General features: G+C 41.1%; 1 protein-coding gene across 3 annotated transcripts in view, besides 1 other annotated feature; it reads right to left on the bottom strand.

The window, feature by feature from the left end:
• RNF130 (ring finger protein 130) overlaps positions 1 to 27485 on the bottom strand; it is a 160109-nt gene that overhangs the window by 117701 nt on the left and 14923 nt on the right. For all 3 annotated transcript variants that reach the window (NM_001410829.1, NM_001280801.2, NM_018434.6), the window contains exon 2: positions 11102 to 11296. In NM_001410829.1, the coding sequence (NP_001397758.1) occupies positions 11102 to 11296 (195 nt within the window). The remainder of the gene's footprint in view (positions 1 to 11101; positions 11297 to 27485) is intronic.
• Positions 4690 to 5889: an enhancer, noted in NCBI's record as "MED14-independent group 3 enhancer chr5:179461041-179462240 (GRCh37/hg19 assembly coordinates)". NCBI's record gives its function as "activates an origin of replication core promoter dependent on BRD2, BRD4, P300/CBP and CDK7 cofactors, and independent of MED14, by STARR-seq in HCT116 cells {active_cell/tissue: HCT116}" and the evidence as "EXISTENCE:reporter gene assay evidence [ECO:0000049][PMID:35650434]".

The following is a 27485-nucleotide window of genomic DNA, read 5'->3' on the forward strand; positions in this document are numbered from 1 at the left end:
AGGCAGCATCTCCACTGAGAACAGCATGAAACCAAGAATTTATTCTGTCTGAAAAACAGGAGACAATGGGCAACAGCCTAGAAGTTCAAAGGGAAAACAGAAAGTGCTCAAAGAAAAAGGATAAAAGCTCTAACCAAGAACCAAGAATCTTTTCACACACTAAGATGAGTAGTTTGCAGATAATTCACAAATTCCCAAACAAAATGGCATTTTTACTAATCTTAAAAATAAAAGCAATATTATATTGCAGAATTTTTTTAAACAAATGGGTTTACTTCCATTGCTTTTGTGAACAATACAGCCATGTAGTCCAACGTAGCTGGGACTACAGGTGAGTGCTACCACGCCCAGCTCATTTTTGTATTTTTAGTAGAGATGGGGTTTTGTTATGTCTAGAACAGGCTGACCTAGAACTCCTGGACTCAAGCTACACCCTGCTTAGGCCTCCTAAAGTGCTGAGATTACAGGTGTGGGTCACCATGCCTGGCCACTATCCACCTCTTTTTTTTTTTTTTGAGACAAGGTCTTGCTTTGTTGCCTAGGCTAGAGCGCAGTGGCACAATCTCAGCTCACTGAAACCTCTGCCTCCTGGGTTCAAGGATTCTCCTGTCTCAGCCTCCCAAGTAGCTGGGACTATAGGTGTGTACCACCACGCCCGGCTAATTTTTGTATTTTTGGTAGAGATGAGGTTTCATCATGTTGGCCAGGCTGGTCTTGAACTTCTGACCTCAGGTGATCCGCCTACCTCGGCCTCCTGAAGCGTTGGGATTACAGGCGTGATCCACACCCAGCCACTGTCCACTTTTTAATACCATTCTATCCTTATATGCTCTTTTAATTTCTATCTTGAATACTCAAAATACAAATAAAAGTAAAAAAAGATCACCTCATAAATACTTGCTTTGTCTCTCCAAGTAAGAATACTTGAGGACATACAACTGAAACCTGTTTCAGTTTAAGAATCTTGTATTTGTGTTGCTTTTGAACTTTAGTTTGCATTATACTTTTTAAAAACAGCCTTAATGAGGTATAATTTACATCCTACAAGACTCATCTTTGTAAGTGTACAATGAGTAAAATTACAGGGATGTGCAACCATCATCACATCCAGTTTTGGGTCATTTCCATCACCCCCCAGAAAATTCACTCACGCCGTTTTTAAAAATACATGTTCCCTTTTTGGTGTTTTATTTTTGTTTTTTAAAAGATGGGGGTTTTGCTGTGTTGCCCAGGCTTAGACTTGACCTCCTGGGGTCAAGGGTGCTCCTGCCTCAGTCTCCGATGTAGCTGGGATTACTGATGCTTGCCAACATGCCAGCTCCCTCATGCTCACTGCAATTAATCTTCATGCCCAGCTCTACCCTACACAGCCACTAATGTGCTTTCTGTCTCTGTATGTTTGACTTTCTTAGACATTTCATATAAATGGAATCATATAATAGTAGCCTTTTGTGTCTGGCTTCTTTCGTTTAGCATAATGCTTTTGAGGTTTATCCATGTGTCAAGAGTTAATTCCATTTACAGCTGAGAATACCACCAGTGTGAACTGTCCAGATCCACTTACAGGCAAATTTTCTTCCTCCTTGGCCATCCCTGAAATAACAAGACCAACCGTCCTCTTCCTCCTACCCCCTAAGCCTACTCAATGGGAAGAAGATAAGGATGAAAACCATTATGGTGATGTGACCAACTTCCACTTAATAAACAGTAAATATATTTTCTCTTCCTTATGATTTCCTTAATAACATTTTCTTATATAACAGCATATAACATATATAACAAAGTATGTATTAATCGACTATGTTATCAGTGAGGCTTTTGGTCAACAGCAAGCTATTAGTAATTAAATTTAGGGCTGGGCACGGTGGCTCACGCCTGTACTCCTAGCACTTTGGGAGGCTGAGGTGGGTGGATCACCTGAGGTCAGGGGTTTGAGACCAGCCCGGCCAGTATGGCGAAACCCCAACTCTAGTGAAAATACAAAAATTAGCTGGGCATGGTGGCACGCACCTGTAATCCCAGCTACTCGGGAAGCTGAGGCAGGAGAATTGCTTGAACCCAGGAGGCGGAGGTTGCAGTGAACCAAGATCACACCACTGCACTCCAGCCTGGGTGACAGAGTTGAGACTCCATCTCAAAAAAAAAAGTTAAATTTGGGGGGAGGCAAAAGTTATACGTAGCTTTTTGACTGTGTGGGGGTCAGTGTCCCTCCCTAACCTTCTCACTGTTCAAGGGCCAACTGTAATTGCTAAACTATATTCAATTTTATGGACATATAACTTGTTTGTTTATTCACCAGTTGATGAACAACTGCGTTGTCTCTACTTTTCTGGCCATAATAAACAATGCTGCTATGAGCATTTGTGTGTAAGTCTTTGTGTGGACATTTCATTGTTTTCATTTCTCTTAGATATCTGGGAGTGGGACTGCTGGGTCATATGGTATTTTTATGTTCAATGTTTAAATAAATTGCCAAACTATTTTCCAAACTGGTTGTACCATTTCACATTTCTACTCGCAATACATAAGGATTCTAGTTTATCCACATCCTCAACAAAACTTGGTACTGTATGACTTTTTAATTATGATCATTCTAGAGGATGTGAAATAGTATTGTTTTGGTTGCACTGTTGTTTTGATTGCATTTGTCTAATGATCAATAAAATGTCTAATTATTAAACCTTTTGCCCGTTGTAAAACTAGGTTGTTTATCTTGTTGATTTATAAGAGTTCTTTATATATTCTGGATGCAAGTCCTATATCAGATGTATGATTGAAAAATATTTTGTTTGTAGCTTATCTTTTCATTGTTTTTCAATGGTTTCTTTTCAATGACAAAGGTTTTTAATTTTGATAAAATCTAATTTTTTTTATAAACAGTGTTTTTGGAGTTATAGGCAAGAACTTCTTGTTCAAAATCACAGACTATCTTCTAAAAGTTTACAGTTTTACCTCTTACATTTTGTCTAATATCCAAGTGAAGTCATTTTTATATAGTCTAAATCCCTTCCTCCCTCCCTCCCTTCTTTCCTTCTTCCTTGAAACAATCTTGCTCTGTGGCTCACCTTAGAGTGCAGTGGTGCCATCATGGCTCACTGCAGCCTCAACCTCCTGGGCTCAAGTGATTCTACCACTTTAGCCTCCCAAAGTGCTGTAATTACAGCATGAGCCACGAGGCCCGGCTTCTTTTTTTAAATTTGCATGTGGATAACAATTGTTTCAGCACTGGTTGTTGAAAGACTGTCCTTCCCTCACTGAATGATCGTGGCACTTTTGTTGAAAATCAATTGACCGTAAAGATATTTATTTCTAGATTCTCAATTTGGATCCACTGATCTATATGCCTGTCCTTCTACCAATACCACAATGCCTTGATTACTAAAGTTGTGAAACGGAGTGTGTAAGTCCTCTAATGCTGTGCTTTTTCCAAAATGCTTTGGCTATTCTAGGTACTTTGCATTTCCATATAATTTTAGGATCGGCTTATCAATTTCTACAAAACACATGCTGTGATTTGCATAGGTACATACCACAAGGAATTTATATATCCATTTTAAGATAACTGCCACCCTGACAATACTGAACAATGGAATCAAAGGATATGAAAGGTCTCTCCATTTATCCAGATTTTTTTTTTTTTTGAGACAGGGTCTCGCTCTGTTGCCCGGCGAGAATGCAGCAGCACCATCTGGGCTCACCACAACCTCTGCCTTCTGGGCTCAAATGATCCTCCCACTTCAGCCTCCCGAGTAGCTGGGACCACAGGTGAATACTGCTACACCCGGCTACTTTTTTTATTTTTTATTTTTTTGTAGAGACAGGGTCCCCCTATGTTGCCCAGGCTGGTTTTAAACTCCTGGGCTCAAGTGATCCTCCCTCCTTGGCCTCCCAAAGTGTTGGGATTACAGGTGTGTGCTACCACACTTGGCTGAGATTTTCTTGAATTTCTCTCAGTAATGTTTGTAGGTTCAATGTGCAATTCTTACATTTCTTTTTAACAAGTTTTTGTTGTTAGGCTATTGAGAATGAACTCTTCTTAATTTCATTTTTGGAACGTTCATAGCTAGCATATAGAAATACAATGGCTTTTGGGCAGGCCCAGTGGCTCATGCCTGTAATCGCAACACTTTGGAAGGCTGAGGTGGGCAGGTCACTTGAGGTCAGGAGTTCGAGACCAGCCCGGCCAACATGGTGAAACCATGGTGGTGTGCGCCTATAATCCCAGCTGCTCGGGAGTCTGAGGCAGGAGAATCACTTTCACTTGAACCCAGGAGGCAGAGATTGCAGTGAGCCAAGGTCGTACCACTGCACTCCAGCCTGGGCAACAGAGCGAGACTCTGCCTTTAAAAAAAAAAAAGAGAGAGAGAGAGAAATACAATTGGTTTTTGTATAATGACTTTGTATTCTACATTCTTTCAAGACTTGTTTATTACATCTAGTGGTTTTTAATAAATTCTATCTGATTTTCTACATACACAACCTATGAATAATGAATTTTATTTCTGCCTTTCCCAACTGGATGTCTTTTATTTCTTTCTTCCCTGTGTACAATGGTTAAAACCACAAGAAAAATGTTGAGTAAGTATAATGTTGAATACAACTAATGAGAGTGGACATCCTTGGCTTGTTCCTGATCTTAGGGAGAAAGCAGTTAGTCTTTCACTATCAAATATGATGCTAACTGTGGCTTTTCCACAGATGCCCTTTATCAGGCTGAGGATATTTCCTAATGTGTTAAATGCTTTTTTTTTTTTAAATCATGATGGGTACTGAGATTTTGTCAAATGCTTTTTCTGCACCTACCGAAAATGGTTAGTTGGCTTTTTCATTTATTCTATTGATTTTCAGATGTAAAAAAAAAAACCATATATCCCATTCCTGGGGTAATGAATCTAATCCATTTTATATATTACTAGATTCTATTTGCTAATAATTTTAAAAGAATTTTTGTGCCTACATTCGTAAGGGATATTGGTATATAGTTTCCATGGATCTCTTTGTTTGGCTTTGATATGAAGGTAAAAACCAGCTCCACAGAATAAGTTGAGAAATGTTCTCTATTTTCTGAAAGTTTGTGAAGGATTAGTATTATTTTTTCTTTAAATATTTGATAGACTGCACCAGCGAATTTCATGGGAAGATATTTAATCCCCAATTCAATTTCTTACTTATTATAGCTACTCAGATATGCTATTTTTTCTTGAGTCAATTCTGACAATCTGTATATTTTTAGGAATTTGTTCATCTAAGGTGTCTAATTTGTCAGTATACAGAAAAAAGTAAACATAGCAGGTTTGAACTACTATCCGTCGAAAGGCCTGCTTACAATCTTGGCCCTTGGGTGGCATCTGGGAACATGGGTTTGGGGAGGATTCCCACCATTACCTAATAAGAGTGACTCACTGTGAGTGTGACTATGTGGTGAGTCCTGTGAGTCCTCCTAGTGAGTCACTGAACCTGTGGATGGTCATGGGGACCCCAGACATAGTTACCATAAAGTTCTTCACAATATTCCTTTATAATCCTTTAAGTTTCTGTAGAGTCAGTAGTGATGTCCTTTTTTAGTTGTGATTTTGGTAAACTGTCTTCTTTTTTATTGTTGGTCAGTCTATCTAAAGGTTTGTCAATTTTATTGATAGTTCCAAAGAACCAACTTTTGGGTTTCGTTGACTTTCTCTATGACTTTTCTGTCTCACTTATTTCTCCTCTAATCTTTATTAACTCCTTTGTTCTACTGGTTTGGGGTTTTGTTTGTTCCTCTTTTTTATAGTTTCCAAAGGCAAAAGTATCTTTGTTTACTGACCTAGGTATTTAAAGCTATTAACTTTCATCTAAGTACTGCTTTCCCAGCATCCTACAAATTCGGATGTGTTTTCATTTTCGTTTGGTTCCAAATGTTTTTAAAATTTCCTTTTGAATTTTTTATTGGACCCGTGTGTTATTTAGATGTGTGCTGCTTAATTTCAAAGACTTGGGAATTTCCCAGCTTTTCTTTAGTTGTGGTTGAAGAATACACTTTGTACAATTTCAGTCTTTGAAAATATATTCAGACTTGATTTACAGCCAACCATATGGTCTATCCGAGAGAATGCTCCATGTGTGCCTGAAATGAATGTGTATTCTAGTCAGTATGTAGAGTGTGCTACATATGTTGGCTAGGTCAAGTTGGTTAATAGTGTTGGTCAAGGTTTCTATATGCTTGCTAATTTTCTATCTAGCTATTCTATCAATTACTAAGAGTAGGGTGTTAAAATCTCCAACTATAATGATTGAAATGTCTGTTTCTCCTTCCCATTCTGTCAGTTTTTGCTTTGTGTATCTTAGGTCTCTGATATATGTTGGTGTGTCTGACAGTGTCCCACAGGCATCTGAGGCTCTGTTCATTTTCCTTCAATTGATTCTTCCCTCTACTATTTTGAATCTGCTGTTGAAGGCCTCTAGTGAATTTTCCATTTCCAAAATTGTACTCTCCAATTCCAGCATGTCTGTCTGGCTCGGCTCTTTTATAGAATTTTTATGTTCTTTACTGAGAATCTCTATTTGTTGACTCATTGCTGCCATTCATTATTGTCATACTTTATTTCTTTAATATAGTTTCCTTTAGTCTTTGGACATATTTATATTAATTGCTTTGAAGTTTGTCTCTGCTAAATCCATTATCTGGGAACACTTATAGACAGTTTCTATAGACTTTTGTTTTCCTGAATATGAGTCAAACATCTCTATATTTTGCATGTCTTATAATCTGTTGAAAAGTGAACATTTTAGACAGTATATTGTAGCAACTCTGGATTCTGATATTTTCCCCCTTAAAGTTGGTGGTGTTGCCTTGTCTGCTTGTTCACTTTTGTTTAGTAACAGGCTGGGTTAAACACATGAAATCTATTTTCACTGTGATGTGCAACCATGATGTTTCCACTCAGTTTCTTCTTGTTCTATGTTCTTTTTCCTCCTTCTTTTTAATAAGACTGGTTTCCTAGGAACTGCCCAGTCACTGGCTCTCCTCTGCTAGCCCACCTCTGTGAAGTCACTTCCACAGACAGTGACACTGGACTCTGGTGTCATTCACCACTGCAAACAGAAACTGCCAGTCCTTGCAGCCTGCTCCACACTGGCAGAAACTCCACACAGCATAGCTTGGGGAGTTTGGGAAGCAGCACCCTGCTAAACCACAAATTTCCACTGCTCTTACCTGAAGTCTAGAAGTTTTTCAAAGCATAAATGTGTCTCAGATTATTGTCCCTTCATTAATATCCAGAACACTGAAATGGCTGTTTCGTCAATTTTGTCCAGTTTTATAGTTGCTTTTTTGGAAGAGGATTTGCTGATCTCTTCACTTCGTCTTAACCGGAAGTGCTACCCCTACTTCTCTGTTATTTTTAATCCTACCTTATAAATATTTCACAAAGTTTTTCTCTAATGATTATTTTGAAATACTTCAAATAAGCAAAAATTACAAAGAATATAATGTCTGTCTACCCCCACACTCAGCTTAAGAAATAAAACATTATAGATACATTTACTTCTCTCTGATCCTATTTCCTTTCTTCCCTCTCCAGAGACAACCATTACCCTAAATTTTGTATTTCTTAATCTTATGTATGTTTTTCTTAGTTTATACCTATATACATGCTCTTAAATGACTTAATTAAAAAGTTTTGCATTTTAATTGTATTCAAATGATATCCAACTATAAATATTCTTCTATAACTTACTGTGTTTGGGAGACTTATTCATGTAAATACATGTAGCTTTAATCCACTGACAGTTAACTGCTGCATAAACGTGCCACAATTAATCCAGTCTCCTATGACAGATGCAGGTGTTTTCAATAATCTGCTGTTACAATGCTGTAACACTCTCCTACGTGTCGTCCATGCACATGTGCGAGAGTAACAAGGGTGGAAAGAAGGACAGAGAGAGGCTATCAGTGCTTGTGTGAGTATATGAAATCTGCCCGCTGGCTCTCACACGGTTGGAGGTGAAATGTGAGAGAAGGGCAAACAGCAGTTGTGCTCCACCGTAGGCATCCATGGCCCTCCACAGAGTCTAGATTTAGAGTCACAAGAGGCCTTACAGAAGGCCTCTATCCTCCAACCCGCACTCAGGAGGCAGCTTGGCCTATGTCACAGAGCACGTCAGTGGAAAACCTGGGACTAAAACTAGGTTTCCCTTCTTCACTGCCTTCTTTCTCAAATCAAGATCTGTAGGCCAGCAACATCAGTGTCACCTAGAAACTTGTTAATAATACAGGCTCTTGGGTCATATTCCAGACTTACTGAATCAGAATTTGCATTTTAACAAGATTCTGAGCTACACATTCAAGTTTTAAAGATGGAAAAGTACTCTAGAGTATGTATCTGGAGTGAAATTAATGATCGCAGTGTGCAGATTCTTTTAACTATACCACATAATGCCAAATTTCTCTCCAAAGTATTGTTCCAATTTACCCAATTTACTTTCCCACATTATGTTTTCTAACTGTCTATGAATCTAATCACAACATAAAGCCGTTTCCTATTGCTCTTATGCACACCTCCACTGTTTGCCTTACCTTCCACTTCCTAAATATATCCTCAAACTATACCCCTGCATTTCTTTAATTTGTGCTGTTATACACTCATCTGTGATAAAAAGAGTTACATGGTCAAATAGGTTTGGGAAACACTAGATTACTCAAAATAAAACAGGGTTTTTTGTTTAGTTTTGTGTTTGTCTTTGAGACAGCTTCTAACTCTGTTGTCCAGGACGCAGTGCAGTGGTGTGATCACGGCTCACTGTAGTCTCAACTTCCCCAGGTTCAGGAAATCCTCTCACCCAAGCCGCCCAAGCAGCTGGGACTACAGGAATGCACCATCACACCTGCTAATTTTTGTATTTTTTTGTAGAGATGGGGTCTCCCTATGTTGCCCAGGCTGGTCTCGAACTCCTGGGCTCAAGCAATCCTCCTACCTTGGCTTCCCCAGGCTCAGGGATCCATGATCGTACCACCACACTGCATCCTGTGCAACAGAGTTAGACCCTGTCTCGGGGAGGGGGAAAAAAAAAAAGCCTGTTTTGTTTTTTTTTTTATTTTGATTAACCTAGTATTTCCCAAAGTGCTTGGATTATAGGATTACAGGTGTGAGCCACTGCGACCAGCCAAAACAGGTTCTTTAAGACTTCTCAGAGACCCAAAAATGTTAATAAGTCCTAGGAGCCCCTAAATGTGGACTACATTTCAAGCATTTTCTGAAACTTACTGTTTCCCCATGAGTCCTCTAGGAACATATCTAAACAAACTAACATTTCAAGGAACACAGCTGGGAAATGCTGCATTGATACAGGCTTCCCATCCTTTTTAAATACAAGTAATTTAATTTTTTTTTAAGATTTCAATTCCCTCATAATTCCCAGATCATCTCATACTTTTATTAAAAGACTCTCATTCTAGCTACTTCTCTGTGGTTTTGTGTAAGTAAAACAACATTAATAAGAAAGAAAAATACATTTTGCTCAGTTGAATTTCTCCCTATTCATTTTTCTTCATGTTTTAAGTAAAGAAGAAATCAGCATGGAATGAAGATAAGTTACATTAGGCCCACATCTTTAAATAGTTTTTCTTCCCTCTGAGACAACTGAGGAAAGCAAACCGGCACCTGCTCTGAAACCTAGCAGAAAAACTACCCTCGAGTCCTGTGTTTCCACATAGATGTCCAGCTAAATTAAACTGCCCCTTAATTTTCTTTTGCTTTCCCTGAATAAATTAAAAGTTACACGACCCCAGTGATCTCCGGATAGTGAAAAATCACACATTTTATTTTATTCTTTGTGTTTTTCTTTAGTTTCAGTTTTTGTACAATAAGCATGTGTTACTTTTGCAATTGGAAAAAATACACCTTACTTCTTTTCTTTTCTTTTTTTTTTGAGATGGAGTCTTGCTCTGTCACCTAGGCTGGAGTGCAGTGGTGTGATCTCAGCTCACTGCAACCTCCACCTCCTGGGCTCAAACAATTTTCCTGTCTCAGCCTCAGTAGCTGGGATTACAGGTACCCTCCACCGTGCCCAGCTAATTTTTTTATTTTTAGTAGAGACAGGGGTTTCAGCATGTCGGCCAGGGTGGTTTCAAACTCCTGACCTCAGGTGATCCTCCCACCTTGGCCTCCTAAAGTATATCTTACTTCTAAAAGGCTTAGTTTGAAAGGAAGAAAACAAGTCAGAGGGCACTAAAGTTGAAATCCATCTGCACCATTCTATCAAGATGTGTGGGGAAGTACCAACGACTCTCAATTAAGGTGGGCAAGTCTTTGCAAGAAACTTGCTAAAAATAATTATGTAAAAATTACACGATGAAAAGTTAGTTCTTTAAATAAGCCAAACTCTAAAATTCTCATGAATGCAAAACTAAATTTTATCTGGATTTCAACTTAAGGAGACAGAGTGGTGAAACTAACAGAACATCAACAAAACTAGGGTGTGAGCCCTCTTCTGTTGGCCCTTACCTCTTTCAGTCCCCTTCCTAGTCTGTAAGATGGGAGAGAACATACATCATGCATGGTTATTGTAAAGACTGTCTAAAAAATATATTTAAAAACTCATCGCACAGCGCCTGGCATTTATATAGTAAGTGCTCAATAAACTGCAACTATTGTTATTAAACAATCAGAAATATCCTAAATGCTTCCAGAAGAAATAAAGAAGCATTGTTACTACTGAAATTATATTAATTACTAAGTCAATTTCAACATTTATCCTGATGAAAACAGAATCCTTCCCAGACAGGCAATCCTTGAGAATCCATGACATAACCTGGGCGAATGATTCCAAATCAAATACATTATTTGTCAAAGTTATTAAGCAAAATGTAGAAATGCAAAACAACTAAGGATTTAATCACAGCCAGTTATTTAATAAGTCCAAGCTTTACAGACTGCTATCACCATTACTTACAAAAAAGAAGAAATTCAACTATGGGGAAAAAACATGCATCCCAACAAACAAATGGCAATACTAATAGGATTATGTTGGAAATTACATGGCTTCAGCAGAGGCAGAATGCTTACCTATAAAGCAATGATTTCTAAGAAGAAAAACAAAATCAACAACCCTCATTTTTGTTTACCTGGATGAGTCATGGTAACTGGCTCCTCTTTGGATTTATTATTGTAGATGACTACAGCAACTGCATTGTGGAAAGCGGCCCGTGATATTTTCTCTTTAAACGTGCAGTTTCCCCTCTGCAGCAAGGCAATCCACTGTTTGATATTAGGAGGGACAAAGAACCGGGTTTGTGGATCACAGCCCAGATGATCAGCAACTGAAAAGAAAAAGAAATACACACATTAAAGATAAATAAAACTGACCAAGTCTTTATCAAAGTGTCAACTGCTTTCTGAATACCACACAGAGCTAAAGCACGTGAAGCAGCTCGCTGCCAGCAGAGCTATGAATACATCCACAAACAATACAATGAAGCTGAATCAGTACCTATAGGGAGAGATGCTCCATGGGACGGTTACCTATAATGCAAATTAAAACAATGAAAATTTCTTAACTTTACAGACTGATAAAAAATAAAAAAGGACTGATAATATCCAGTACAGGGTGGTAAAGGGAGGAGGAAGAAAAGGCCAACACAGACGAGAAACCCAGGTGACTGATGTAACCCTGACACCCTGACTCTTACTCATTCCTGTTCATGTACTAGCCTCTCCACACACCGCCACCACCGCTATCCCCACAGTGAGAAAACAGGAGCCTGGACTGGGGGCCAGTGAGGAGGCCAAAATAATCCTCGGTTCAGTTACTAAGTGATCCTGTTGAAATTCAACCATGTTAGAGCAAATTTCTTCATAAATGTCTAAGGAAAATTTAAAAGTTTGGTTTTGGCTTATATTTGAAAGTTGAAGTAGTTAAAATAACATCTAAGTAGAATAAATGTATTATTCCTCTAATTTATGTTAGCAAAAGTCACCCCACAACTCCGTATCAAGATACACTTACTGTATCCATCTGTCTAACAGGTTACAAGAAGACACTAAGAATGTTGGTACTACAAATTACATGGCCACTGTTCTGGATTTTTTGGGATAGTTTATTTAAAATACTCATAAGTACATTTAAATCTGTCAGAGTAAGCGCCTCAATTTTTCACTCTGCACATATGGCCATCATGGTTCTGGCATCCTCTGCAAATCTTAAGAAGAAGCCCCCGGCTGCTCTTCCCACTCCCACTTTCACATTTATAACAGGTTCAAATGAGAGAGAAGGGCAGCCCAGAAGGGGAGAGAAGTCACCAAAGGTAGAGTCTGCAGACTGCTGGCGCACAGTGGCAGAGGGTGCCAGCCCTGTGCCCTGAGTCAGCCCTGCCGGTCCTCTGTGTGCCGGGAAGGAAGTAAGGAAAGGGAACACAGCGCATGGATCTAAAAAGGTGACACCAGAAGTAAATAAATCATAAAAGCAAGGCGAGGTGTGGTGGCTCACGCCTGTTAATCCCAGCACTTTGGGAAGCCGAGGCAGGTAGATTGCTTGAGCCCAGGAGTTTGAGACCACCCTGGGCGACAAAGTGAAACAAAAAATACAAAAAAATTAGCTGGGTGTGGTGGGGCACATCTGAATTCGCAGCTACTGGGGAGGCTGAGGTGGGAAGACTGCTTGAGCCATGATCGCACCACTGAACTCCAGCCTGGGTGATAGAACAAGACCTTGTCTCAAAACAAATCATAAAAACATGAAGTATTAATTGTAGTAGATAAAGAGATGACGCCAGTGGGAAAATGTTGGCTTTCTACACACCTGGAAGCACATGCCTAGCAAAAGAAACTAAATGCTTACACGACTTAAATTGTAAAATGTAAAGATGCCAGTAACTTCAGAGAACTATTACATCTACCATTCCCACTTAAATATCTTTCCCCAAATTTTCTTTCAACTATTGTGGTGAGAGACTGCACCAAGAGTGTATTTGCTACCAGAGGTCTCCTAATACATGAAATGGAAGATGAATGTTTTCACAATTTTTCATGATTGATATTGTATACGACCATTACCTACCCTTTTCCTTAAAAGGTTTCTGCACTCTGAACCTTTAACCCTTCCTCAATCAAATTAAACGGGGATAGAAGCCTATGTCATGATTTTAGGAGTCAACTATTGAAAGACACAGACGATGCACTATAAAACTTTAAAATCCTGAAACAGATTGTTTACTTTCATCACTATCTGTTTCACCGATAATTATGCTGTAAAATAAAAGCAGCTCAGTGACCTGTTACGATAATCTCCTCTTAGAAAAATGTCTAATACTGTATCCAAACGGGGAATAACCAAGGAACTGGTTTTAGGTGTTCTGTTCGTTATTTTTCAAAACATACTGCTGCACAAACCCTGGAAGAAAACGCAAAATCAAGAATATCTAAAGTGATGTGTACCCCTGCCTTCTGTGCAACACATTTAATCATTTGTCTGTGACTTATCTCTTCTTCCCTGTGGTCTCGCATACATGCACAATGTAGTAAAAAGCAAACAACATAGTTATGGAATCAGCAAGACTGTGCTCCAAGGTCTAGATCAACTGCTTACTAGCTGTGTAACTATCACAGGTGACTGAAATTCTCCCATCTTTAATTTGTACTTATTTATAAAGATTTAGATAGTCTTATCTCACAGAATTTTACACGTGAAAAAGCCAAGAGTAATGCTTTCTGGCCAGGCGTGGTGGCACACACCTGTAATCCCAACACTTTGGGAGGCCAAGGTGGGAAGACCACTCAAGGCCAGGAGTTCAAGACTAGCCTGGGCACATAGTAAGACCCTCATCTCTACACAAAATAAAAAACAAAAAAATTAGCTAGGCATGGTGGCACGCACCTGTAGTCCCAGCTACTCAGGAAGCTGAGATGGGAGGATCGCTTGAGCCCAGGAGTTCAAGATTACAGTGAACTATGATCATGTCGCTGCACTCCAGCCTGGGTGACAGAGCAAGACTCTATCTCTAAAAAACAGTAATAATTCCTTCATTCTTCAATGCTTAAAAAACACTCTTTCCCTTTGTTTGTTTCACTGACATTCATCCTATGTTGTCTTGGTGATCCAGTTTGGTCCCCTTGGGAGTTTCTGTGCCAAAATATGTGAGCTACCCCACGCTCAGCAGCACCCCACACTCCTCTGCTCTTAGTAACCACCACTCACAGATCCCAAGCCTCATCTTTTTTACCTCTTTCGACAGTGTCACAGTCCACTCAGAAGACAGCAGTTCAGTAATATTCATAATATTCTAAGAATGAAAAGACACAGCAAGGGGTGCAACCACAGAGCAAAAGTTATCAAACATACTGCAGGAGGACTTTAAAACTCTGCTAAAGGAATCCCGCCCACTGAGAACAGATTCTATGAACAACAGCATGATCAAAACAAATCCAACAACGGCCTGTATAAGCAAAAGAATGTTCCTGTTTCCCAAAATTCATCTAATCATCATCCATAAAAGGTCTCTGAAAACATTCATATTGGTAGTACAATACAAAATAAGCAAGGATAGGAAGCTTCTGTTCAAAAAAGTGGTATTTATTATTCAGAAGAAAATAAGAGGTTTTCATAAACAGGAACTTAATACTGTAGTATACTCATTCTACCTAGTTATTCCCTCCTGTAATTAAGAAAATATAAATAATGAAAACAACGGTTCTATAACAACTTTTCATGACTGATGACTATAATTAAGTAGTATTACTCCAAAATTTAATACCAGTTGTTTACACTTGAGCAATTTATTAAGTGAAGACATATTATGGTGTAAAATATCTATATAATTATGAGCCTTTAAAATTTGTCAATAGCAATTCTGTTAAAATTCAGAATAACGGTACTTCCGTTTTTCTTACCTGCCAACTTTTATAAGAGGATACTATCTCTGAATTATTTGCATTTATTAATTATAGAGCCAGGAAAAACTTACTAGAGGTTCTGATAAAAATTTCAAGATAGATAATACAAAATATTTTACTACAGAACTTAATTTTTTTTTTCCTCTAGGGCTTTTTCCTGCTGAGTCCAAAAGTATTAAAAGTAATGAGACTTATTTACCTCTTGACAGGCACCAAACAATTCTGGGCTCCTCACCTCAATGAATAGTAACTTATGTGCTCAGCTACACGCTAAGTACCAAAGAGAGATACAATGTGGCAAACGCCTTGCTCTTGACTCTTAAAGAGCCTCCACATGGCCGGGCGCGGTGGCTCACGCTTGTAATCCCAGCACTTTGGGAGGCCGAAGTGGACAGATCATGGGGTCATGAGTTCGAGACCAGCCTGACCAACACAGCGAAACCCCATCTCTACTAAAAATACAAAAATTAGCTGGGCATGGTGGTGGGTGCCTGTAATCCCAGCTACTCAGAAGGCTGAGGCAGGAGAATTGCTTGAACCCAGGAGGCGGAGGTTACAGTGAGCCAAGATTGTGCCACTGGACTCCAGCCTGGGCGACGGAAGTAGACTCCGTCTCAAAAAAAAAAAATAAAAGCCTCCACATTCACTGAGGCATCATAATTGGCACCAGCACAGAAGCTGACGTTAGAGGGTGCCAACACGAAGTGCACTTAAGAGACTGAAGGAGGGAGGAGGGCAGGACGATGGTCAAGATTTAGTGTTAGCTGGAGCCCACATGGAACCCCTGAAACTTGCGCAGCCAGGAAGGAGGTGGATACGCAAGTTGCCAGCATAAAAACACAGAGCAAAGACTAAACTCTTCTCTTGAACTCTTGCAAAATTAAGTAAGACGATATGTAACAGAGCCTACAACACTATACAAATTTAAGAAGGTCAAGTTCAGAAAAGATCTCATTTGCAATGAGAGAAGGAGAAGAATATTCAGGTAAGAATAGTATGTAAATATTTAAAGGGCTGTAGGAATGAAATCTCTATTCCACACCCCACTGTGTTCGGAATTCGTGGGTTCTTGGTCTTGCTGACTTCAAGAAGGAAGCCGCGGACCCTCACGGTGTTACAGTTCTTAAAGATGGTATGTCCGGAGTTTCTTCTTACTGGTGGGTTCGTGGTCTCACTGACTTCAAGAGTGAAGCTGCAGACCTTCTCAGTGAGTGTTACAGCTCATAAAGACCGCAGGGACCCAAACAGTGAGCAGCAGCAAGATTTATCTCAAACAGGGAAAGAACAAAGCTCCCACAGCGCGGAAGTGGACCTCTGCACGTTGCCGCTGCTGGCTCGGGCAGCCTGCTTTTATTCCCTTATCTGACCCCACCCACATCCTAATTGGTCAATTTTACAGAGAGCTGATTGGCCCATTTTGACAGGGTGCTGACTGGTGCGTTTACAAACCTTGAGTTAGACACAGAGTGCTGATTGGTGCATTTACAAACCTTGAGTTAGACACAGAGTGCCAATTGGTGCATTTACAATCCTCCAGCTAGGCACAAAAGTTCTCCAAGTCCCCACCAGATTAGCTAGACACAGAGCAGTGACTGGTGCCTTTACAAACCTTGAGCTAGACACAGAGTGCTGATTGGTGCATTTACAATCCTTTAGCTAGACAGAAAAGTTCTCCAAGACCCCACCCAACTCAGGAGCCCAGCTGGCTTCCCCTAGTGGATCCCGTGCGGCATGCCCACACTCCTCAGCCCCTGGGCGGTGGATGGGACCGAGCCCCGTGGAGCAGGGGGCAGCGCTCGCCGGGGAGGCTCCAGTGGCGTGGACGGAGGGGGGTGGGGCTCGGGCATGGCAGGCCCTGCCCCATGGGGAGGCATCTGAGGCCCCACGAGAATCTGTGCGCGGTGGACCGCGGCGCGTGCAGGCCCACAGTGCTGAGGGACCCAGCGCACCCTCCGCAGCTGCTGGCCCAGGTGCTAAGCCCCTCACTGACCGGGGCAGGTGCAGGGCCCGCCAAGCTCACACCCACGCAGAACTCCAGGGCCAGCCTCGGCCAGCCCAGAGAGGGGCTCCCACAGTGCAGTGGTGGGCTGAAGGGCTCCTCAAGCGTGGCCAGAGCAGACACCAAGGCGAGGAGGCACCGAGAGCGAGCAGGGGCTGCTAGCACGTTGTCACCTCTCACCACCAGTCTGAAACTCTCCTCCTCTTTGATTCATTTGATTTAGTAAAACCTCATTTCTTAGAAATGTAAACACGCCACATAAGAAGCACTCACCATGTTGTGTAGGCTAAGGGTTTCCTTCCTACCCCTGAGAATTGTCAGTCTGCTGCAGGGGCAGAAGTGATAGCCTCGGACAGTATTTTTCTGCAGTGATGGTCAAAACAGGCGGCCGCACAGCACAGTGGCAAAGATGTGCCTCTCCCTCTCAGAGCCTGTGTGTGTCACTTCATCCTCCTGAAATGCCAGTCCCACCACTCTTGCTCACCACCTTCTGAGCCTCAGGATTCTGCCAAAATGTCTTCTCCAGAACGCTTTCCCAGCCTCCTAAGACTGAGTTGGGTGCTTTTTTCAAGTTGCCATGGCACCCTTAGGTTACATCCATCTTGGCATTTATCATACTGTATTAGTAACTGGCTGTTTACTTCTGAGGCTTTCCTTCCGGAATGTGAGGTCTAGCATCTCCTGCGAATATGTCTGGCACATAGATGTTTAACATGATTGATGAAGGAAAAGGGGAAAAACAACAGGGAAATTAAGCCAAAACTGGCATTAAAAAAAAGTTTGTGGCAAAGAGTTCTCTGTTTCACGTGGTAATATCCTGACTACGGTAATGTTCTATCAGTTGCTTCCTACAAAAGAGGTAAAAATAAAAATGAGACTAATTAGTTACCCCGGATTTAGATTCCTCCATTGTCAGCTATGGTCTGGTTGCTTTCCTACTCCTGAATTAGATTATAATTTCTTTATTCTTTAAATTTCCTGCTTCTACCCTATCTTTCCTTATTTTCCTTTGTCAAATTCTAATTTTATGATTCAAAGAAAAAATACAATTCATCATTTCTGTTATCAATTTCTTAATTTTATTTTTAATGGCAGCTACTGGACTTAGGTGGAGCTTTCATTCTCTTTATCCACTTCCATGGATATAACTTATTATTTTACTGCTTCTACACTTTCACTTAAACCTAACATTTCTTTTTATTACTTAGCTTCATTGGGTGTTTAGTCTTATTGAAAATGTTTTTTTCTGGCCCGGCGTGGTGGTTCATAGCTGTCATCCCAGCACTTTGGGAGGCCAAGGCAGGCAGATCACCTGAGGTCGGGAGTTCAAGACCAGCCTGACCAACATGGTGAAACCCTGTCTCTATTAAAAATACAAAATTTAGCTTGGCGTGGTGTGTAGGCCTGTAATCCTAGCTACTCGGGAGGCTGAGGCAGAAGAACTGCTTGAACCTGGGAGGCAGAGGTTGCAGTGAGCCGAGATTGCACCACTCCACTCCAGCCTGGGCGACAGAGTGAGACTCTGTCTAAAAAAATAAATAAAATAAATCTCAGGCCACTCTTTGTTCTCCAAACTGGCCTGCCCCAGCCAAGCGCTCTCCTCTCTCCACTCCCACGTCCCACTTCCTCCAGGCTTTCCTCCTGCACTACCACAGTCATTCTTTGGGTCTTTACTGCCTCTTCTTCCTCCAGTCGAACCTTCAATACTGACGCTCCCGAGTACTCTGCCTTCCCTGGCGTGGGCCCAGGACTCTCCAGGGTTCATGTTCACCATGTCAACAGCACACTTTTTTTTTTTTTATTGGAACAACAATGCTTACTAACATCTCATGCTGAGCAGCCCTCTTCTGAGAAATTATTTTTCATTTTTACTTCTATGAACCCAGTTTCTAATAGACACAGCTAAATCAGGTCAACAGCATGCTAAGAATCGGGAGAGGAAAGTGGAAAATTACACACACAGAAGGGAATTCATTCCCTTCCATTCCAAGCAAAACCTCTGCCTTGATGAGTTAATAGGAGTTCTCCAAGATTTCAACTGGTTTACATGGAAGGGGCACGGAAGGGAGTCTGTAGTCCGGTTTACGGCAAATCACTCTGTATCTAATTTGTCTGTTTCCAGGTTGCTCTGCCCTGCTTCTAGGCTAGAGGATGATATTATTATCAAAGGCTACAGGATTAACCTCCGAATCTAGGCAATTTCTGCTTGACTCACATAGGAAGAACCAGTGTTCCATGTAACAAAATCAATGACTTAGATTGATTAAAAATAATGAGGCCAGGTGCGGTGGCTCATGCCTGTAATCCCAGCACTTTGGGAGGCTGAGGTGGGAGAATCCCTTGAGCCCAGGAGTTGAAAGCTACAGTGAACTGGGATGGCGCCACTGCACTCCACCCTGGGAGGCAGAGAGAGATGCTATCTCAAAAACGGGAAGAGGGAATTTATCCTGTCTCAGAACAGGGCTGTATTTTGCGGTGAAGAATTCAGCACCTCAGCAGTGTCACCAGGATCTGGTTCCTTTTCATCTCTTCCCTTTGCCATCTGTAGCTTCAGCTTCATCCTAAGAGTCCCCTCTTTATCATAAGATGACTGCCAGCAGCAAATGAAGTCACACAGCTCCCTGTTCATATTCAGTGGGAGACAGAAAAAGCCAACCCTCCAGGTATGTAATTTAAGCTCTTCACTTCTGTGCAGCTCACCCTAGGTCATTTATCCTTCTGTGCCCCACACCCTCTTCTGGGACTCAAACAGGTGTCACTTAAAGCATGTGGCTGCATGGAAGTGATCACAGATGCCTGAATTACATAAGGTTTCTGTTTTCTGTTTTAAATAAGCAGAGGCTGGTAGGCAATTAACAGCTCACTTCAAACCTCAAGGTAACCTTATACAGTGGCTCTTAATTCATCAGAATCCACACTTGGCAATTCAAACCCACCAAAAAGGACAAAACCCAAAAAGAAAGCTTCTTTGGTTTCCAAGCGCTTTGACACAGGGAGACAGCTAAGGTACCACCCCTCTGCCTCCTTCCCTCACTCGAGGGAAACATGAGCTATTTGGGAGTGGAGAGCCCCACTTGAAGATCAGCAGCTACAGCAAGCATTCTTGACAAGGCTCTGGGGATAGAATTCAGGGCTGAGTGACATTTGGATGAGGGGAAATCATCTTTATTTCTGCTAAAATCTAACTGAAATCTAGCATTTTATTTATTTATAAACACAGATAACAAACCATCTGTAACTCTGTAACCAGCAGCAACCACATTACAGTTATTGCAAATACTGCAAAATACTGATAAGGTGATTAGGCCCACCACTGAATCCTGTCCCTAATGTTAACTGTACAAGTATTACCATGTCACAGACATGTTAAGTATTTTAAATACTTTGATACATTGTTTCAGTATACTTGGGTTTCTTTAATCCTATTTACTCCTGCACTTAACACTATTCTGAGAAGCAGCCCACAGGTTAAATCAGACTGCAAAAGGAGTCTCAACTGCCACGCTTAGTCTATTTGCATATGTATATGATATAGCTGGATTCATCTCTATTATTTTATTGTGTTCTTATTTATTCTACTTTTCTAAGCTTCTTTATACTTTTTTTCCCTCTCCTTTCTGCCTCTGAATATATTGACCGAATTTCATTTCCCCCTTTTCCTCATCTATATATTCAAGTTCTATTTTTTTAGTGCCTACCCTTAAAATGTTAACATGCATACCTGATAAAAGGTCTACAATTAATCAGTACCTCTATTCTCCTCCTGAATACCTCAAGGCTCTTAGTTTCCTAGGGCTGCCAGAACAAAGTACCACAAGCATGGTGGCTTAAACAACAGAAATGTATTCTCCCACAGTTCTGAAGGCCAGAAGTCCAAAATCAAGGTGTAGGCAGGGCCACTCTCCCTATGTCTAGCTCTATCTAGTTATTTCTTTATACAGATATGTAGATACAAAGGGATTTATTATAAGGAATTGGCTCTGGCAATTATGGAGACAGACAAATCCCAAGCTCTGCAGGGTGAGCTGGCAGGCTGGAGACCCAGCAGAGCCGATGGAGTTCCAGGCCAAAGACCAGCAGGCTCCGCGCCCACAAGAGTCAAAGGTCTCAGCCATAAGGCAGTCAGGCAGGAGGAAACCCCTCTGACTCCAGGGAGTGTCACTTTTTTGTTCTATTCATGCCATCAGTGGAATGGATAAGACCCACCCACATTATGGAGAGCAATCTGCTTTATTCGGTCTACCCATTCAAACGTTAACCTCGTCCAAAACCACCCTGACCGAAACACAAGAATTCTCTCAGGATACTGTCTGACCAAGTATGTGGGCACCTGTGGCCCAGTCAAGGTGAAACATAGAATTCACCATCACAGTCCTCCTCACAGCTCACTTTTTTCCTTCTGTGTTCCATTTCCCTCCTCCTTATTCTACATCCTTCAGAAGTTCTTTCAATGAGGATCTGTTAGGTAAACTTGTATTTTACATCTGAAAACATCTTTCTTTTGTTCTCATTCTTGAGTGACAGGTTAATTAAGTAAAAAATTCCAGACTGTTAATTTTCTCTCAGCACTTCGGGGTTGTTCTTGCACTGTCCTTTTTATTTTTATTTTTGGAGACAGGGTTTCACTCTGTCGCCCAGGGTGGAGTGCAGTGGCACAATCAGAGCTCACTGCTCAACTTCCTGGGCTCAAGTAATCCTCCCACCTCAGCATCCTGAGTAGCTGGGACTACAGGCATGCACCACCATGCCTGGCTAATTTTTGTATTTACCCCAACATGAGGTCTCACTATGTTGCCCAGGCTGGTCTCGAACTCCTGAACTCAAACAATCTGCCCACCTCGACCTCCCAAACTGCTGGGATTACAGGCGTAAGCCACCAAACCTGGCCAATTCTAGTACTTTTAAAAAGTAAACTAAATGTGTTTCTTGTTTTTCTCCTAATTGACAATTCTTACAATTACCAATTGTAAATAAAAAGGTGATACATTCTTACAACAAATTATCACCTTTTTGTATAGATATTATATTTATTTATTTATTTATTTATTTATTTGAGACAGAGTCTCGATCTGTCACCCAGGCTGGAATGCAGTGGTGCGATCTCGGCTCACTGCAAGCTCTGCCTCCCGGGTTGACGCCATTCTCCTGCCTCAGCCTCCCGAGTAGCTGGGACTACAGGTGCCCGCCATCACACCTGGCTAATTTTTTGTATTTTTAGTAGAGACGGGGTTTCACCATGGTCTCGATCTCCTGACCTTGTGATCTGCTTGCCTGGGCCTCCCAAAGTGCTGGGATTACAGGCGTGAGCCACCGCGCCCCGGCCTTTGTACAGAATTTTTAAGAAGGTGGCAGCAAAATACCTTCTGGACACCTAAATGCTGGATGCTGCAGTCAACATGGCAGGAATGTCCTAACAGTGGAACTGCAGCAGATGCACTTGTCAGCAGCCGTCCATCATTGTTTGTCTGCTGAACTTAGTTACTGTGTATCTCAAATGGATTTTGATTATTTTTTACATCCTTAGAACGCAAATATATCTGTTGGATGTTCTCCATGACATAATAAAAAGCATCTTAAGAGTAAGTTTAAATGACGGCTAATACAAATCACTTTGCATGAAAAGTCAATTTCAAAAATAATAATTTCTATTATAAATGATGCAACAGATACTTCATGCAAGATGCTACAGATCTAAATAACTGAAAATTAGAGCTTGGTCCTCATACAAAGTTGGTGTCACAGTGCAATATAAGTGTTAATTGTTTATCCACATCACTCTTCGTTCCACAAAGGAATTACAGTACTGAGTACAACTCTTCCCGAGGCTCTCTGTTCTCTTGGCTCCTATCCATCAAGTTTTCCTCCCACCTCTCTAACTATTCTTTCTCACTTTCCACTGCTAGACCCTCGCCAAGGTCTGTCCCAGGCCCTCTTTTCTCAGTGGACAGTATCATCCACTCCCCTGCCTTCGACTACCACCTGTGTACATCACAATCTAAATCTAAATCTCCCTCTTGAGCTTTTCTGTTTAATATTCACCTGCCTGCTTGACATTTCTCCATGAATACTGAGCAGTCCAAACTTATTAGCTTCCTCTCACATGTGACGTCTTTCCAGTGTAGAGTTCTGGCTAACAGCATCATCTACTGAAACACAAAGGACGAAAATTCCTGTTGGAAACCAAGTGGCCATATGGAGACTCAACTTCCCACTGCTGCTGCCACACATAGGGACACAAGGACACCACCCTTGATCCAGAGCAGCGCCTGAAGGCACTACTAACTCTTGGGCAGAAAAGAATGTGGGAGCAAGCTTGTTTTATTTCATCACTTCTTTCTTCTAGTATGAGTATTTCCAGTACTAATGACTCGATGCAATGACAGTAATGACAAAGACTGGGCTATCTGGACCATAATTTAAAATGTAATGACAGGCCAGGAGCCATGCAGCTCACACTAACAGGGAAGAAGCCATCTGTCCAGCAACCAAAGGACTTTAAGCTAAATTGGTGAGGAGGGAGGGAGGAAGAGAATACAAGGGAAATCATAAAATCAGTCCCTACGGAGGATTACAGAAAAAGAAAGACTGAGAGAGATTGCTCACCTGAGAAAATAAGAGGTTTAAAGTGTTCTTAATCTGAGACGTCCATAAACCAATAAATACAAGTAATAAGAAAAAACCTTAAAGTTCACCTTAAATATAGAAAATAATCAGTGACACTTGTTGAGGCAGGTCTCAAGATTGGCCTATAATGATGGAAAGCACACTATTATTCAGAGGGAAAAAAAGGATTTTATGTCAAGATAATGTACGTCCTTCAAGGAATCCCAAGTAAACAGAAGCACTCAAGAACACCTCTGAGAGGCAGAAAGCTAAATTAGACTTCGATGCGGGAGCATGCCGAGGTCAACTGGCCAAATGGAGTAAAGATAAAGGTTTTTAACAGATCTCAAAACTGGCAGACAGGATAGGGCATGGACAGGGATTGCAACCACCTAGAGCTGCAGAAGAGATCTCACCCCTCCGCTTCCATTCACTTTGCCTCCCACAGGACAGTGGCCAGGCATATCCCGGTGAACAGCTGCCCGAACCCAATGCAGGCCCCGAACAGAAGTGACAAGTCACATGGAAGAAAGCAACGTATCATTTCAGAGTTTACAAAATCCTGGGCAAACAAAGCTCAGTAACAAATCATCTTGATGAGAAAGAAAATGACACATTTTATGAAGAAAGCAGCAAGAACACACAAGACAAATTAAGCTTTAAGGAGGACTCAAACAAAACCTGAAAAGGCAAACACAAGATGATGGTACAGGCTTACACAGCTTTTCTTTAAAAAGCCCAGAAAGTTGAAGGTTGCCAGTAATGATAGGAACAAGCAAAGCTACTTCTCACAAAAGTTTTATTATTTTTTTAAGTATATTCAGAGCAAGAAGAGTTGGAAAGAAATAGGTTTACTGCCCAGGGCCAACTAAATGATGGATGGAAACATTTCTCAAGACTTTTTTGCTTTTGCTTTCTCTACCACAGAGAATAACCTGAGAACTGCAACAAGCACGGCTACATGACACTGACAATGAGTGCAGAGACTGTAAAAAAGCAAATACATTCTTTTTTTTTTTTTTTTTAATTTGAGACAGAGTCTCACTCTGTCGCCCAGGCTGGAGTACAGTGGCACGATCTCGGCTCACTGCAACCTCTGCCTCCCAGGTTCAAGCGATTCTCCTGCTTTAGCCTCCCGAGTAGCTGGGACTACTACACCCAGCTAATTTTTATATTTTTAGCAGAGATGGGGTTTCACTATGTTGGCCAGGATGGGCTCCATCTCTTGACCTCGTGATCTGCCCGCCTCGGCCTCCCAAAGTGCTGGATTACAGGTGTGAGCCCCTGCGCCCGGCCAGCAAATACATTCTTAGAATAGGTTTCTCTGTTACCTATTTTTACTTCATTTCAGTAGAACAGCTGTTTATATCTTATGCATTCATGCTGGTTTCTTCAATTAATCACTCATATTGTTTCTTGAGATGATTTGTAACGACCCAGCTTTCTTTGTCCTAGGATTTGCAAACTTAAAAAATGATACAATCGCTTTCTTCCCAATTTCTAGGCACTTTGCATTATATCACCAAATGCAAAGAATTCCTTCCACCCCGTGGCATGTCACCCTCCAGGCCAGGGTCAGATGCAGATGCCCACTTAGCTTTTGAGACAATGCACATTCCTTTCGCATCCTCCCTCTCCCTCTAACTTCTCCGATATCCAGTTGTCCCCGCACCCTTTACTGAAAAGACTATTCTTTCCCTCTATTGAATTGTCTGGGCACCCTTCTCAAAAATCAAGTGACAAAAGGGTTTCTTTCTGGTTCTCAGTTCTACTCCACTGATCTACCATGTCTCTATCAGTACCACACTGTCTTGTAGTAAGTTTTCAAATTGAGAAATGTGAATTCTCTTAATTTTATTATTTGTTTTCAAGATTGTTTTGACTACTGTGAGTCCCTTTTACTTCCATATGAAGTTCTGGTATTTTCACAGGATGGTCTGAATGTGTAGGTCAATTTGGAGGGCACAGGTACCTTAACAAAACAAGTCTTTGGACCTATGAACATGAAAAGTCTGTTTATTTACATCTTTAATTCCTTGCAACAGTGCTTTGCAGTTTTCAGTGCCAATATTACTTTAAATGATATTGTGAAATTTTTATTTTCTAATTGTTTGTTACTGGCATATAGAACTACAACTGACTTAATTTTTGTTTTATTGATCTTTTATCTATGGGTGTTCCTAAATGTATTTGAGTTTTTAAAAAATTACTCTGCTGGTTATTGGTAACAAGAAATAAATTTTGGCCAGGAGTGGTGGCTCACACCTGTAATCCCAGCACTTTGGGTGGCCAAGGCGGGCAGATCTCATGAGGCCAGGAATTTGAGGCCAACATGGTGAAAACCCATCTCTACTAAAAATACAAAAATTAGCCAGGCCCTGAGATCGAGCCACTATACTCCAGCCTGGGCAACAGAGTGAGGTTCTGTCTCAAAAAAAAAAAAAAAAAAAAAAAAAAAAAAAACAAAAAAAAACAGCAAACAAACAAAAAATGCAATTTTTTTTTTCTTTGAGAAGGAGTCACTCTGAGCCACCATGCCCAGCTAGAAGTAAGTTAAGTTTTACTGGCATTTAATTAAGGATTAACACTGGCTGCTTTCCTCAACCTGAATGTCAGATGACTTTGTGTGTGTGTGCGTGTGTGTGTGTGTGTGCGCGCGCGCACGCGTATGTGTCTGTGTGTCTGTCTGTCTCATGTGGTATACCAGTTGTCCTAAATAAAGAGAGGGATTTCTGAAATGCAACAGGGATGGTAGTGACTCTCTCATTCATCCGTTTGTTTTCAGATAATACTGCCAACAGTATAATAGCCATACACTACTCAGTTACAGGATTTACAGACGAAATGATCCACTTTTTACTAAATTGTCCCTCATCAAATGGACAAATGCCTTTTTTTAAAAACCCCAGCAAAAATAAACTGGTAGAGCTGATACTTCTCTCTTTTTAGCTACTATAAAGGGTTAAAAAACAACCATCACCATTACAACTGGTGCGTGGCTCATGGCTGTAATCCTCTCACTTTGGGAGGCTGAGGTGGGTGGATCATCTGAGGTCAGGAGTTCAAGACCACCCTGGCCAACAGGGTGAAACCCTGTCTCTACTAAAAATACAAAAATTAGCCAGGCATGGTGGTGGGCACCTTTAATCCCAGCTACTCGGGAGGCTGAGGCAGGAGAATTGCTTGAACCCGGGAGGCAGAGGTTGCAGTGAGCTGAGATGGTGTCACCGTACTCTGGCCTGGGCGACAGAGCGAAACTGGGTCTTAAAAAAAAACAAAAACAAAAACAAAAAAACAAACAAACCATCACCACCAATCAGATTTGGAAAAGAAAGTCAAAAAACTAGAAAATATCATGAAGACTATCAGAAATATAGATTTATTCCCGCTGTTACTCTTAGCCTAAGTGTTGAGCCTTAAGATAGTATCTGTGGGGAAAAAAAAAAAAACCCTAATAGTGTATGTATGACATTTATGAGTTTAATGCATACCCTGGGGCTACATGTGGATGTGCAACAGAGAAAGTCTGTGTCCTGTTACTATAGAGAATGGGCTAGAAGGGAGCCACAGACCAGAGGAGGCTGCAACAGGTGTGGAGAGAAACAGACCACATTTTAGAGATATTTAGGAGTTTGGATCAATAGGACCCAGTAATTACTTAGATATGGGAGTGGGGGGTCTAAAGAGGGAAATGCCTCAGTTTCTGGCAAAACACACTGGGCAGAGGTGGTGTTACCGACAGACAGCAAACACTAGAGGAGGAAAAGATTAGGAAAGATGAACCATGTTGGACACGTTGGGCTTGAAAGAAGACTCAGAGAAAGAAGACAATTCTTCCTCTCTTAAGAGTGTCTTATGGACACTCAAATGTATTCCCAATAAAATGTGTATATATGTGTACAAAAGACACATACAATGCTCATGACTGGACTGCATTGTTCTTAACCACCAAAAAGCAGGAAACCCACAGGCCCATGGACAGCAGAATGCATAACTACCACATATTCATAAAGCAGATC

This window comes from Homo sapiens, chromosome 5 (assembly GCF_000001405.40).
Source record: "Homo sapiens chromosome 5, GRCh38.p14 Primary Assembly".
Classification (NCBI taxonomy): Eukaryota; Metazoa; Chordata; class Mammalia; order Primates; family Hominidae; genus Homo; species Homo sapiens.